Source organism: Homo sapiens, chromosome 4 (genome assembly GCF_000001405.40).
Source record: "Homo sapiens chromosome 4, GRCh38.p14 Primary Assembly".
NCBI classification, from domain to species: domain Eukaryota; kingdom Metazoa; phylum Chordata; class Mammalia; order Primates; family Hominidae; genus Homo; species Homo sapiens.
In genome coordinates, this window is record NC_000004.12 from 119,046,001 (window position 1) to 119,061,485 (window position 15,485).

At 39.6% G+C, this 15,485-nt stretch overlaps 1 protein-coding gene across 4 annotated transcripts in view; it reads left to right on the plus strand.

Moving 5' to 3' along the window:
* SYNPO2 (synaptopodin 2) overlaps positions 1 to 15,247 on the plus strand; it is a 210,567-nt gene extending 195,320 nt beyond the window's left edge. For all 4 annotated transcript variants that reach the window (NM_001286754.2, NM_133477.3, NM_001286755.2 and 1 more), the window contains one exon: positions 11,401 to 15,247. In NM_001286754.2, the coding sequence (NP_001273683.1) occupies positions 11,401 to 11,934 (534 nt within the window). In that variant the 3' untranslated portion in view covers positions 11,935 to 15,247. The remainder of the gene's footprint in view (positions 1 to 11,400) is intronic.
* The last annotated feature ends 238 nt before the right edge of the window (positions 15,248 to 15,485 follow it).

Here is a 15,485-nt window from a genome sequence, read left to right on the forward strand (position 1 = left end):
ATACAAGCCAGTATGTGCTTGTATAGGGAAAATTACCAATTTAGGGTAATATTAGGGTAAATTACCTAATTTACATGCCTCACTTTCCTTATTTGCAAAATGGAGGCCATAAGGTTGTTGAGAGGATTAATTGAGGTAACAAATACAGTGTTTAGAACTGTAGCTAGTACATAGTAAAAGTTTTGTACATTTTAGTTATTATTATCATTGCTTCAAAGATGAAAGAGACAACAAAAGTATATGCACACATTCCTCCTTCATGTTGGTCTTCTCGACCTTAAACTGTGTATCATTACTTTTATTCTTTTATAACAGAAGGTTTAAAAAAAATCAAGAAGTGTATATTTTGGCCCACTTAGACCTAGCAGGAAGATGAGGTCAGTGGCAATGTTTCTGGCCAACCCAGCTGCCTGCATTCTGATGACAGGAGGGCAGCCGGGGTTGGCACAGCAGCCTCGGAGGCGTGCACTGCTAATGCCACTTCAAAGGCAAGTCTCCCTCCTATTTTTGTCCTGGGTCAGCAGCCTGCCTATGCAGTTGCCTCTTGAACAAAAGGTCCTGCCAGGTCTCTGACACCTTTAGGGCCACACAGTCTCTTCCCACAATAACAAAAATAATCACCATTTGTTGAGCTACATGGCATTCCATTTATAAACACAATCTTTACTCTGCCCATAATCTTGAAACTGTAGCCAGCAATACTCCCATCTTACAATTAAGGAAAATAAGACTGGGAGAAGTTGAATTGCGTGGATAACAAAAGACAAAGGCAGAACTTTCAGGTCAATGTGACATCCAAGTTTCCATTCCTTCCAATATAAGATGCTGGCCTCCATTGTCATTTACAAGCCTTACGCTTTCTCACAAACAGATTTCCTAGAAGCAGAAAGTAAAACTTTTTGTTTAAAAGTCTGTTGTTTTGGAAGAGAAAATTTAATCTAAAAGTTAATCTAAGATGACTGGTGAGTAACAGAACCAAGATGATATGCTACATACAAGACCCTATCTCTTATTTTGATGTCAGAGTATGTCCATTGCATTCATGAAACTATTTATTTTGTTTATTTATTTTTTTTTTAGATGAAGTTTCACTCTTGTTGCCCAGGCTAGAGTGCAATGGCACAATCTCAGCTCACTGCAACCTCTGCCTCCCGGGTTCCAGCGATTCTCTTGCTTTAGCTTCCCAAGCAGCTGAGATTACAGGCATGAGCCACCATGCCCGACTAATTTTGTATTTTTAGCAGAGACAGGGTTTCACCATGTTGGCCAGGCTGATCATGAACTCCTTACCTCAGATGATCCACCCACTCGACTTCCCAAAGTGCTGGGATTACAGGCGTAAGCCACTGTGCCCAGCCCATGAAACTATTTAAACAACATGTGATTACTTGGCCACTTTTCTATTCAAAAATATGGTTTATTAGTCCTGATTATGTGCCCTTCTTGGCAGACAGAATGATACTGTGTACTTCTGCTGAAAGAAATAGAAACTCTCTTCCATTTTCTAGATAAGAGAGTCCTAAAACAGAATTTCCAAAAACTCCAGTTAGTGGAGGTAAACTTAAAATCCTCTTTAAGAAGGCAAGTGTTAGGGAATGAGGAAAAGACTATTTTATTGAGACTAGAACAAAATGACCTTCAAAGTGTTTTTATCCTCTAACTTCAAGCTTGATTGTATCTAAACCACCTCAAGGGAGCGTTTGTTTTATATTTAAAGACCTTTAGGTAAAGGGATTCTATATCTCTATGCAGAAATTTTTTCCAGTGTTGAACTGTTTCTACTGTCAAGAAAATTTTCACTGAGGGCTCATTAGAGCTGGGAGGGACTCTAGGAGATTAGTTAGTAGAGGCTGCCATTTCCTAACACGTACTTGCAGTCTCATGATAAACGGTAAATCAACTTTCAGCTTGCTCTTCTTCAACCCTAACTAATTCCAATCTCTTTTATCGTTTTCTTCTTAGGTCTGATTTATTTAATCTTGCAAATGTATTTCAGGTTCTCTTTAGGGTTTATGCATAATTTTCTAAGACTTTTCTCAATTGTGAAATCAAAGCCGTTTGAAACTCTTAAACTTCCACTGACCTGAATGCAAATCATTTATTTGAACCTTAAAAATCTTCCACCTGTTTAGAAAAATTGGTTTGTTCATAAATATTGACTAGTCCTGTCTGTCTTGTTGAACATGACTTGGGGTGCATATTGGTTTGCATATATTGAAGGTGGTGGGGATAGTTCTGTTTGTGTCCCTTGTCACATGTAACTGATGTGTGAGAGGGGCTACATCTTGTGAACTGACGTAAAATTCTGGTGAAGATAACCACATTTTCAGTTTATGACAGCCTGATGTAGAAATTATCATTCATTCAACAAATATTTACTAAGCACCTACTATTCTGGTGCCAAGTACTGTTCTAGGGAAGCCTTAAGGAAACAAAAACCTTTACCCTTAGATGGACCTTAATTTCTAGTGGAGAGAGAAAAATAAACAAATGATTAAGTAGAATATTTATTATGTTAGATGAGTGTAAGTCTAAGGGAAGGATTAAAGCAGGGGAGAAAGGTAAGGAATTTTGAGAGAGGGAGGGAATTGCCAAGCTGAGTGATCATGTAATATTTGAGTAAGTCCTGAAGAAAACAAGGTAGGAGTCATGCTGGTACCTGGGGTGAGCAAGTACAAAAATCCAGAGGATTGGAAAGTACAAAAATCCTGAGGCATGAGTGTACCTGGTGTGTTCAAGGTTCAAGGCCAGTGTGGCTGGAGGAAAGGGAGAGGAAGAGAACATGAAGAAGATGAAGTCAGATAATGCAAGGAGCTAGTTGGCAGATTTTGTGGGGTCTTGTAGGTCAATGAAAGGACTTTGGTTTTTCCTTTTTTGAAATGAAAAGCCATGGGAAGTTTTTAAACAGTAGACTGAATAACATAATCTGACTTGAGTTTTAACTGGGTAGTTTTGGCTAGCATATTAAGAATAAACTAAAGGAAGCAAGAATGAAACTAGGGAAATCAATTAGGAGACAGTAGCAATAATCCAGGTGAGAATTTGTGATAGCTTAGTCCAGGATGCTACCAGTGGAGGTTGAGAAGACTTGGTCAGATAGTGGATGTATTTTGAAGTCAGTGCTGACAGATCAGGTGTGGAGTGTGAGATGGAGAGCAGTCAACACTGATTCCCAAAATTTCAACTTGAGCAAATGGAAAAATGGAGAATATCTGTGGTTTCTTCTATTTGTGTATCCCTTCTAGGACCTCTGCTTTTCAGAAATTCTAATCCATGATTAAAAAGGCAAAAGAAATACTTTTTATTCCTCTTCACTTTTCTTGGACCTCCCAGAATCTGTGTATGATAAAGTATATGTTTGTGATGATCATTTACTGATCATGTGTTTAAGAGAGAAAAGAGTCAAAGGAATTGAAATCATATTTATCAGTTGACGCCCCTTTCCCTACAGTGCATGTGTAAGCAGGGTTTCAGCCAAGAGAATTGTATCACTTTCAAGGTTTATGGTATAAAATAGTTTAAACTTTGACTCACGACACATACATCAGATTTATCTTCTTTGGCTTCTAGGACAGTTTACATTGCTTTAAAATTCACTTCTTTGTGCTAAGTAAACCTCAGATTACACTTTCTTTTTGCATGTCAAGTGTTCCCTGCCAGTTAAATTGGTTACTAGACAGCTAGACAGTTTAACAAGGAAGCTAACTAAGCTGTTTTATTAACAAGCTGTGTGGATAAACCAACATTTAATTGACATGAGAAGATGGTTTATGTTAAGCTGAGAAAGGCCCTCAGCTCCTCTGAGCTTTTCTCCTGCATGCAGAGCCCCGGATATCTCATCTTCATGCAGCAGAAGTGCATCTAAATGCGATGCACTGTATTCCCTACGGCCCGGTCACCTGCCTGTTCTTGTGACAAATGCCAAGATGCCAGTATTCTTTAATCCAAATTTAATCCAAATTTAAATGACCTTTTCCAAAATTTCTAAGATCTTACTCCATTTAGTTTGCATGGTTTTGAATCTTTTTTTTAAAAAAAAGATGTTCTCAGGCTGGGTGCAGTGGCTCACACATGTAATCCCAGCACTTTAGGAGGTTGAGGCAGGCAGATCACCTGAGGTCAGGAGTTCAAGGCCAGCCTGGCCAACATGGCAAAACTCCATCTCTACTAAAAGTACAAAAATTAGCCAACCATAGTGGTAGGCACCTGTAATGCCAGCTACTCAGGAGGCTGAGGCAGGAGAATCACTTCAACCCGGGAGGCAGAGGTTGCAGTGAGCCAGGATCGCCCCACTGTACTCCAACCTGGGTGACAAGAGCGAGATTCTGTCTCAAAAAAAAAAAAAGATATTCTCTCAAAACAATATCATTGCAAGTATAGTCCAATTAGATTTAGGAACTCTGGTATGAGACTGCCTGCCTGGGTTCAATTTTCCACCCCAACACTTACTAGCTTTCTACCCTTGGGGAAATTACTTACTTTCTTCAAATCTCACTATCCTCTGGAAAAATAGGGATAATAATAGTGCCTCTACTTCACGGGGTTGTGACGATTACGTGAAACACTCCACATAAAGAAATCAGCCCCCACTGCCTGGCATACAATAAGCAATCTATTAATGTTGGCTATTTTTAAAGGCAGAGGTAGAAAAATGCCTCCTTAGTGTTAAGCCCTTTTGTGGGACTATATAACACCAGATGACTCATGAGTTCAGTGGGAGTCTTGCATGCATTATATTGGGCCAGCTAAAGATTGGCGTGTGCTCTCGTGGGTTGAATAATCAAAGAACAGAATACTCTAAATGCACACAGACTGAATGTTCCATATGCAGTATTAACTATACCATCTGCCAGATGACATGGTCCCGCAGTCATTTTGAATGATGTCTTCACTCAGCACGTGGCCTTGTGTTTATGTACACACATCTACTTAAGAAGATCAAGATATTATACCTGCATTAGCCTTGCCCAACAAACTGGAGGGAGAAGGATGTGGAGAACTTGAGGGAGTGAATGACATAGATATTATTTCTCCTTAGTTTGAAAAATAACAGATAGCAACAGGATAGTAAAGATATTCAAGGAGGGTGGAAGAAACTGGGAATGTATGAAGGAATGGCTGCATAGAAGTACAAGTAGATGTAATCCATGTTAGCAGAATCACTGGGGTAAAGCCATGGGAAGCAATTTTTTTTTTTTTTTTTTTTTGAGACGGAGTCTCGCTCTGTCGCCCAGGCTGGAGTGCAGTGGCGGGATCTCGGCTCACTGCAAGCTCCGCCTCCCGGGTTCACGCCATTCTCCTGCCTCAGCCTCCCGAGTAGCTGGGACTACAAGCGCCCGCCACTACGCCCGGCTAATTTTTTGTATTTTTAGTAGAGACGGGGTTTCACCGTTTTTTAGCCGGGATGGTCTCGATCTCCTGACCTCGTGATCCGCCCGCCTCGGCCTCCCAAAGTGCTGGGATTACAGGCGTGAGCCACCGCGCCCGGCCGGGAAGCAATGTTTGATTCAATGTAAGAAAGAAGTTCCCAAAATCTAGAGCCTAAGGATTGACCAAGATGCTCTGGAAACAAGTAACCCCTCTTCTCTAGAGAGAAGACTCAGTGAGGTATAAGCTTTCAACTTTATTCGAAGTTATTAGAGAAATTTCTTGGAATTGATTTGTAGAAAAATATTTCCAATTTTAGCTTATATTTTACTTTAAAAAGAAAAATAGGAGAGAGGGAGCTTTGTACTGTACTGAAAATGAGATGACAGGATGTTGAAGTTTTACCCAAGGCCCCCAGATACAACAGATGCTGCCCACTGAAGTGAGATTCCAGATTCAAATGCAGACTCTACAAAGAATATAGTAGCAAATGACTTCCACAATTCTTGAAACCTTCAGCCAGGTCCAAGTGATTAAAAGGGGTTGATTATGGCAAGGAGAGAGGATTCTGTGAGAAGGAATTCCAGAGTGCTGAAGATGTGTGTGTTTGGAGTGGGTGGCGTGGAGGGGGTTTCACCTTTTTACCTCAAGCTGTGTGCAAGAAGAGTTTCAAAGTGTCTTCTTAGAGAACTTCATGGGAGATACTTGCATGAGGATGGGTAGGAGGTCAGAGTGGGGTCTGAGTGCCACTCAGGAAATTTGGAGGGAAAGGGACAGGCTGACAAACTGTTCTGGCACAGAACCAGGACATTTTCTTCTGCATCCCCACAGGCAAATGATGTGAGTGTTCCCCATGGACCAGGCCAGTCCAGGCTAGGAGCAAGGGAGAGCTGGCTGGGGTCAACCTGGGGCCTCTCTGAGGGGGCAGATGGATCCTAGTAGCTACACACTGTAGGTAGACAGCTTCCTAAGGGAGCATATAGGATGAGTCCAAAGTCACTCCCTAGAACAGAGAAGAATTAGCATGAATCAAGGACTAGAGGTAAGATGTCCCCAGTGATGGGAATCTTTCAATATCCCATAAAAATGTCCCTCTCTGGGCCTGTCTGGCCCCAAGAGTAAGAGGCCAGAACATGATGTTGCCAAATCAAGTAAAAACTTTCTTCTCCTCTTTTATTCTACTCCTTTTTTTCCTCCAACCCCAGGGGGCCAGAAGGCAGAGTTAGCGACCTGAGAGAAGAAGTGGAAGTAGAGTGAAGAAGTCAACCACACTCCTTCCCTGAAGGAAGGCAGCCTTTCTGAAGCAGGCCCCAGCTGGGGAAGGAGAGGAGATTTAACTCTAATAAAGTTGAAATTGGAGTTTGTTATTTCAGGGGATGGCATCATCTATTTCAAAATAAAACTGGTTTGAGTAACTTAAGGTAACCATTGAACTCTTCCTAAAAGTAAGCAAAATGTCCCAGGATCTGCTAAGTTTTCTTCCAGTGGCAGCAGAAAACTTTTTTTTATTAAATAAAGTTTAAAAGGTAGTGGGAGACAGAAAGAAGCAATTTGATGGGTAAAGCTAATTTAACATCTTGGTTACAGTTAAGTGCTCTCATATAAAAATATTAAATTCCCTTGATGATGATATAACCCATGGTGGAAGTGACAACCCAGGACCTAATCCATGCTATGCTAGGATTCCAGCGTCAGACATTCAAACTCCAAAACAAAAGAAACACCTCTGTTACTTTCAGGTTCCTTTGGTCGTTTCTGGCTCAGGGTATATCACATGGCTTCATTCAGCCAGCCAAACAGAGAACAGCCTGAGCCTTGAAACTGTGATGGACAGAAGGAAACAGCACCAAAAAACACTGTGAAAATTGCTTTGGGGAAATACATTAAAATTAGAAGTATGGGTGCCAGTAGAGGCTAGAGGCTTGCAATATTTTGGACACAAACAGAAACTACATTGTACCTATGGAATGATTTATTTATATCCCAGTTGGATCTCTAACCTAAAATGGTTTATCATCTTATCCTCTATTACTAGCACTTGAAAGAATGTGAAGGCATGTTCGTCAGTCTGGGGAAATGTAGAAGAGCCATGGTCATTTTGCTCATTGAGCTGGTTGCTCTTCTTTCCTCACTGCTGTTACATTTGTCATATGCATGTTTGGCGTGAGATTTTTGCTTTCAGCTTCAATCCTAGGTTTTAATTTCCCTTCAGAAAGCCCTGGCTTACTCTTTCAATACCATACCTCAATATTTTAGTTTTCTCCCTGCATATTCATCTCTTTGTTAATAGGATATCACTGAACAATATTTTGAACTTTATAAATTCTGTCAAGTTTCAATTCTTCTGAATATTTTCAAACTCAGTGCATAAGAGAAACACCAAAAAATAATTCCTCTCTTTCATGTAATGTTTTGGATGTCTTATCACTGCAATGTATGCTTTCACATAGTACTTAATACTCCCAAGTATATTGATAATTATTTCTTTTTCCAGTTATTAGCCAGTAAATTAAACACCTGTATATATGTTCAGGGGCCTCACCGAGATTTCTGTAAAGTCTTAGCTCCCTTTATCTATTGCCATCCCCTCAGCCTTCTATCTTTTAAAATACCTAAATAACTGACTAAAGCAGTCCCTCAAGGTGCTACATCTAATTGATGCAGGATTTTTTTTAGCCTCTTTGCCAGACTTGCAACAGGGGTGCCCTGTTTACTCAGCTCACTGTGCTCAACCCCTTGAGGGAGGGAGCACATGAGTGAGTGAGTGTGGGATCTGGCTGGCCACTCCGGGCGCCAGCAGGAGCAGACTTCATGTGTGGCCCACAGCGGTGCCCAGGTGGGGGTGCTTGCGACCCCAAAGCCCCAGAGGGAGCGTTACAGTGCTCTCTTAGTTCTGCCGTCCACAGACGGTGGTTTGTTAGCAGCTCAGTTGGCCTCTTGCCTCATTGTGTGGGGTGGCTGCCCTTCATCCGTGAGGGCAAAGGGCCGGTGTGATGGCCTTTTTGGGTACCTGCACTCGGTGGGTCCCAAGCTCTTGTCCGGCGTCCAGGAAGAATGAGGTCACACAGACAACTGAAGGGCAGAGAATTTTACTAAGCTACGAAAATGGCTCTCAGTGGAGAGAGGAGCTAGACAGCGAAGAGGATGGGCAGGTTGTCTTCCCCTGAAGTCAGGTCATCTCTTCTGTAGTCTGTCCATCTCCCTCGAAGTCCAGCTGTCTCTCTGAAGTCTGGCCGTCTCCTCTAAGGTCCGGCCATCTCTCCCTCTACCGACTGAGTCTGGGGTCTTTATAATAGGCACACGGTGTGGGTGGGGTGGGCCGCAGGTAGTTTTGGAAAAAGCAACATTCCACTGGTAAAAAGACACTATTCACAAAGAACCAATCAGGAGAGAATGGGCAAACAGGAATAGAAGTTCTCACTTTGGGCTGTAAGTTTCAGACTATTTTGGCTTGAAGGTGGGGTTTCACCAGGGATCCACCTCTGTCTGCCTAGAATTTGTCTGCCTCCTGCCTCTATCATAATCAAAGACCACACAAAGCAAAATCATGGGACTCTGAAAACTCTCCCAGGGCCTCTGTAGACCACTGTTGTTCTAATTCTTCCACAGAAAGGACAAAAGTGATATACAGACACACACCACAACAGACAGCTACATTTCTCTTTATCACACTGAGTCTTACCACTTCTCACAGTTTAGAAAACTTCCTATTTTTTCCTGTCAAGACAGTTAAAGAGTCTCTTCTCTATCTTCTCTAAACTGATCTTGTTTCTTATTATTTATTTATTTATTTTTTTTTTTTGAGACAGAGTCTTGCTCTGTCACCCAGGCTGGAGTGCAGTGGTGTGATCTCAGCTCACTACAACTTCTGCCTCCTGGGTTCAAGTGATTCTTGTGCCTCAGCCTCCTGAGTAGCAGGGATTACAGGCCTATGCCATCACACCTTGGAGAATTCTTTTGTATTTTTAGTAGAGATGGGGTTTCACCATGTTGGCCAGGCTGGTCTTGAACTCCTGATCTCAAGTGATCCATCTGCCTCAGCCTCCCCAAGAGTTGGGATTACAGGCGTGAGCCACTGCACTGGCCCAAACTGGTCTTCTGTAATTGACTTAATTCAGCTACTGTGGGGCTAAAACTAGTACTGGATTGTGTGCTTATTGAGGGCAAGGACTTTATCATCTTTAAGTCTTCAGCTTATAGAAGAATACCTGGAAATATTAGGTGTACAATATGTTAATTTATGTTAAATGAGTCTATGAAATGAACACATACATAATGTGAAATAGAAACTAAGGCCTTAAAGGTGACTAAAAGTCAGGATTCCCCACACCTCACCCAAATATAGAGTAAGGAGAATTATGAGTGGTTCTGAATTAAGACAAGATTAGTGAAAGCAAGTTTTTGCTAAGATTCAACCATTGTAAGTAAAATTTAAATGATTAAAATGAGAGAATCAAGATTTATTATATTGGACCCCTTATTCTTCAGATAGAAACCAGGAATGAACCATCTACCTTCTTTGTGTACCTAATAATAAAAAAAAAACGAAACATTTGAATCTGAGATATTTTGCCTAAATCCAGGTATTGATATTCACTTTAAAGTTAAGAACTTGATTAAGAGAAAAGCTGTTGAAACTGTTTATGAAATTAGAGCACATTTTTAAGCATGGTAATGTTTTTTGTTAGGAAACAGGATGTTTTGATACTTTCAAAGTTGATACTCCTGTCCCCTAGGTGTACCCTTTCTGCGTTTTTGCCAAGAGCTTATCTCACACAGCCTCATGCATATTGGAATGTGTGAAGATGTAATGTGGATAGCCAGCCATCAGCATTCCTAGAAATGCAGAGGAGTAAAAGGAGAGAATGAGAACACAAGAGGTTTCATTAAATTATATTGCTGTAGCCAGGCACCGGGGCTCATGTCTGTAAGCCCAGCAACTTGGGAGGCTGAGGTGGGAGGATGGCTTGAGGCCAGGAGTCTAATACCACCAGCCTGGGCAACAGGGAGATCCTGTCTGTAAAAAAGATTTTTAAAAATTTAGCCAGGCATAGTGGTGTGCACCTGTAGTCCCAATTACTTGGGAGGCTGAGGCAGGAGGATTGCTTGAGCCCAGGAGTTTGAGGCTGCAGTGAGCCATGATCATGCTCTGCACTCCAGCCTGGGCAACAGAATGAGACCCCAACTCTATATAATAATAATTAATAATATTCCTGTGTTATTAGTCAAGCTGAATATTAAGTATACACAGAGGAATGTTGCAGGGATACAAACTCTCAAAGAAATAGGAATGTAATACACATGAAAGGAAGCAAAATGCAAATTAAACAAGAGGCAGGAGTAATTCCCTCAGAGACAAAGGCAATACACTCCACTCAGGAAATAAAAATCCATGTGATCGTCACCATATAAATAGATTTTGAGCGGAAAAGGGCCAGGCAGTTAATCATACCAGTAATGTTAACTACATCTAAGAAGCTCTGGTTTGTTTTTGCTATATTCATTCACTAGACCAACATTAGATAACAGATTAAAAGTCACTTGGGAAGAGTAAAAAGCTCAGTAATGTACAGCTTGTTTCTGAGGTTATCAATAGGTTTTGTTTATTTTGTACCAGCAAAGCAGGATAGGAATAAGGTTGGGATGTGAATTCACATATGCTTATGTGGAGGGCAGAGAGAAGGAAAGGTGGTTCCTAGTGATGACAGAGCCCCCGCCCTGCCCCTAGTGACTATGCCTAAGAAAGATGATAGCAACTGGGGCTATGCGTTCACAGATGGGGAGCAACTAGGAGGGCCAAGTGCAAAAGGTAAGATCAAGTGGCAGCCCACCATTTGCACTTGGCCCACTTTTGCAAAGGTGGGGACAGGCAGCATGTCCTGGCTTTAAGACTAAGCATTCTGGGGGGTTAATTTATTTTTATTTTTATTTTTTATTTTTGCAGTGCTTGGTAATGGTGCTAGGAATACTTTGGAGTAACAATCAGCACAAACCAAAATGAATGAGATATATTAATATTTTCATTGTTTTTAGGAGAGTGGGCGCTCCCTTTCTCTTCCTGGAAGATCAGTCCCACCCCCCATTTCTACATCTCCTTGGGTATACCAGCCTACTTATAGTTACTCTAGTAAACCAACCGATGGACTAGAGAAAGCAAACAAGAGACCAACTCCTTGGGAAGCAGCAGCAAAGTCTCCTCTCGGTCTAGTGGATGATGCTTTCCAACCCAGAAACATCCAGGAATCCATTGTGGCAAATGTGGTTTCAGCAGCTCGGAGGAAGGTGCTTCCAGGGCCTCCAGAGGATTGGAATGAAAGACTGTCCTATATTCCTCAAACCCAGAAGGCCTATATGGGCTCATGTGGAAGGCAAGAGTATAATGTCACAGCCAATAATAATATGTCCACCACCTCCCAATATGGTTCACAGTTGCCATATGCATATTATAGGCAGGCTTCAAGAAATGATTCTGCAATCATGTCCATGGAAACCAGGTCTGATTACTGTCTTCCAGTAGCTGATTACAACTACAACCCACACCCAAGGGGATGGAGACGCCAAACATGAAAGTTAGAAGAACGGATCATGTGCCAACTGTAGTTTTTTAAAAAAAACGCTCCTTTGTAGGGTTTTAAACTTTTCTAATAGATTTAGATTCACTTTTGGTCTTGGCTTGTTCTCATAAGTCATTTATCTAAGTTTGTGTTTCTGTGTGTGTGTGTGTGTGTGTATGTATGTGAATATACACACACACACACACACAGGTGAGTGTGAATACTTCCTTGTTGGCTGATCCATAGAGCATTACTTGGAAGAAAATTTCACTATTTGCATTGATGTGCTGGCATTTATATGTAATTCATAATTTTGATTCCATTAATAGGTAGTCTATGCAACAAACTCTACTCAATTAAAGTAAAACTAAGTATTTCTTCATTGTACCTTAGTCCAGGAAGAAATTAATGGAATATGGTGTGCTAATTATCACTACCTATAACATGAGGAATATAACATTGCAGAAATTTCTCATAGGGGCATGCCAGTGAGCAATTACTTTATAAAAATATTTTCCTTGGTGTTAAGTATTTCTCTGCAACTTTTTTTTTTTTTTTTTTTTTTTTTTGAGATGGAGTCTTGCTCTGTCCCACCCAGTCTGGAGTGCAATGGTGCGATCTTGGCTCACTGCAACCTGCGCCTCCTGGGTTCAAGCAATTCTCCTGCCTCAGCCTCCTGAGTAGCTGGGATTACAGGCATGAACCACCACACCTGGATAATTTTTGTATTTTTAGTAGACACAAAGTTTCACCATGTTGGTCAGACTGGTCTTGAACTCCTGACCTCGTGATCTGCCCGCCTCAGCCTCCCAAAGTGCTGGGATTACAGGCGTGAGCCACCACACCTGGCCTTTCTGCAACATTTTTTTAAAAAAATCTAATAAATCTTAGATTTTTAAAAAAGAATTAAAATGTGGGAGTTCTCAGAAAGAAATAAACACATGAGAATAAGATTATTACACATTTTGGAAGGACTTTTGAGGAATGATGTGATGTGTAGAGAATAGAAAGATTTAGATATATGCCTGTGACAGGAATAGATTCTGGGTTCAGGGGTCCCCATCTGTCAAATGAGAAGATTGGATTATCTAATCTTTTAGATCCTTAACAACTCTGATATTCTGAGATTCTCTCATTTGTAGAATGCCCGCTGATGCATTGTTTATTTTTTTTGCTCATAATATAAATATCAGATTATGTTTAGGAGTGGATTAGGTAATTAGTGTCACTACATGTATCATTAAAGGTCCTAAAAGGAATTGTTAGGCGGCAGGCTTTGTGTTACGTGTTACATGGAGTGAGGGTAGATGTGAAGATTTAAAACGATTGATGGATTTAAGGAAGTGGTACATAAATATGTCTGTTATTATGCAATCGTAGGTCATGATAATTTATTCAGTTATAGAAAACATGCCACAGAAGCCTATGTAACAAGTGGTGCTTCTTTAGAAAGTTGTCATTAGAATGTTCTGAGGAAGTTAAGCAGCTGCTTCATCAATCCCATGACACATGCCTTGTTAGCATGCCCATCAAATAATCAGATCAAACACCTGCTCCTTATTGCCATACCCACGAACTGTTAAATATAAAAAAATTCAAAGTATTTGACATCTTAAGCAAATATCCAGAATATTTTTAAGTAAAAAACCATCTTAAGTATTCAAAATTTCCTTGGTTTTTTAAAGGTGATAATTTTGCTTTGTGTTACTTTTTTGCTCTTGAATGTATCGTTATGATGGTCTCTTATAATCATGGTATCTTTCACAGAATAAAAATTAAAAATAATGCCAGGGTGCAAGTGACCAAGGCCTTATCTTGAAAGTTAAAAAAAAAAAGTAAAGAAATCACAGTAAGTTCTATTAGTGATGATAGAACCAGATATAAAATTGTTCAGTGATGGAGAAAAGAAACGATAAATACTTTCCAAGGTTATATTGTTAAATTATCTTAAATTATCAAGGTGTAAGATGTAATGATCCCAAGAGTTTTTATAGAATCCTAAAAAATAACGCCTGATGTATAGATTAGTTAGCAAATTCTCAGAAATCCCCCACATAAAAGCCTTACTTTGTTCAAAATTTATTATAGTGGTTTAATCATTTTAGATTTGAATGTTTTAAGATAGGAGAGACTTAGCAGAAAATACTTGGCTTGCCAGGGCCACGTTCTACTTCATTGCTTTCTTTTATAAGTGCAAGGAGTTATTTCCATCAGTTGACATAGATATTATTCACTAAAATTTTCAGCAGACTCAAAATAGAGAGGAGACTTTAAACTTACATGTTAGCATAAAACAGACTTCTCTCTCATTGCATGCACTAGATCAATATTATCATCTGTATTAAGCTATCTGAATTTATTCGAGACATTAAGAAAAAGACAGTACATGGTGGGAAAGCTGCACATTTCTCACAAGGAAAAAAACATTCTATATTTGTAGCAGAAATCAGTGGTTTGAAAAGTCATACTTTGCAGATATGAACCTGAAAATCAAAGTGCCATTGTTAAATCATCCTAAAGTGTACTGTGGGTATTCTCCAGCATACTTGAAAATGAATAAAGTTAGATTGCTCACATTGAAGCTAATGGTTGAGACAAGACACCTGCCAGAGTGAAGTTTGATTCCTATGGGTGAGAAGATGTAGATGACTATTGTTCTCACTAAAGTTCTAAAATAATAGCAAGTGTAGAGAAGAGCCGTTGCTTTGAAAATACATACCACATTTGTTATAAAGCATTTGTTTGTTAGTATCAATCACATAGGTAGAAAGAGTTTGAGTTTTACTGTGGATTAAAAAGCCTTCCCTAAAAAGAGAGCATGCCAGTCATAGAGACACTAATTTGGCACTTTTCCTCCTTCTTAGGTTTAAATGTTATACCAATGCATGTGTTTGAAATATCCATTAAGATGATTTAAAATTTGTCTTGTATTTTGAGTTTCTTAAATGCGTGGATTCTTGTTCATTTATCTCTGAATATGTCTCTTTTATATTTTGGCACAATTATACACATTGGAAAGGGCCAACCTATTAGGGCTCAAGTATGTATATGCAAAAAAAAAAAGTTATATCAAACAGGCACAGTTATTACAACTAGAGAGAAATTCCAGAAATATTTGTTTTTTTAAGAGAAAGTAAATTTTCACATTAGATTTCTATTCAAAGTACTAATATCTACATGGTCCACACTTTTCTATTTTAAAAAATTGTGTTCTCTTGTTAAATAGATTAACATTTCCACTTCTGTTTATCACAAAAGACTGTATTTGAAATATGCATACGGAAAATTGAAATTATATTAGTAATAAATGTAACTTGAAAAATCAAGTTTAGGAGCCTCTTCATTTTTTTCTTATAAAATTGTTCTGAATTACTCTTTACTACAAAGATTTACTCCTATCTACCACATATTTTTCCATTTTATTTTCTGTGATAGCTTCTATACACATCAAAATAATTTCATGCTAAATGGGGCAACATTTTAACTGTAACATTTAAAAACTTTTTTAAAAATTCCTGAAAATACAATTAATTTCACGTGTAAGTTAAGAATTTTAGGATCCAA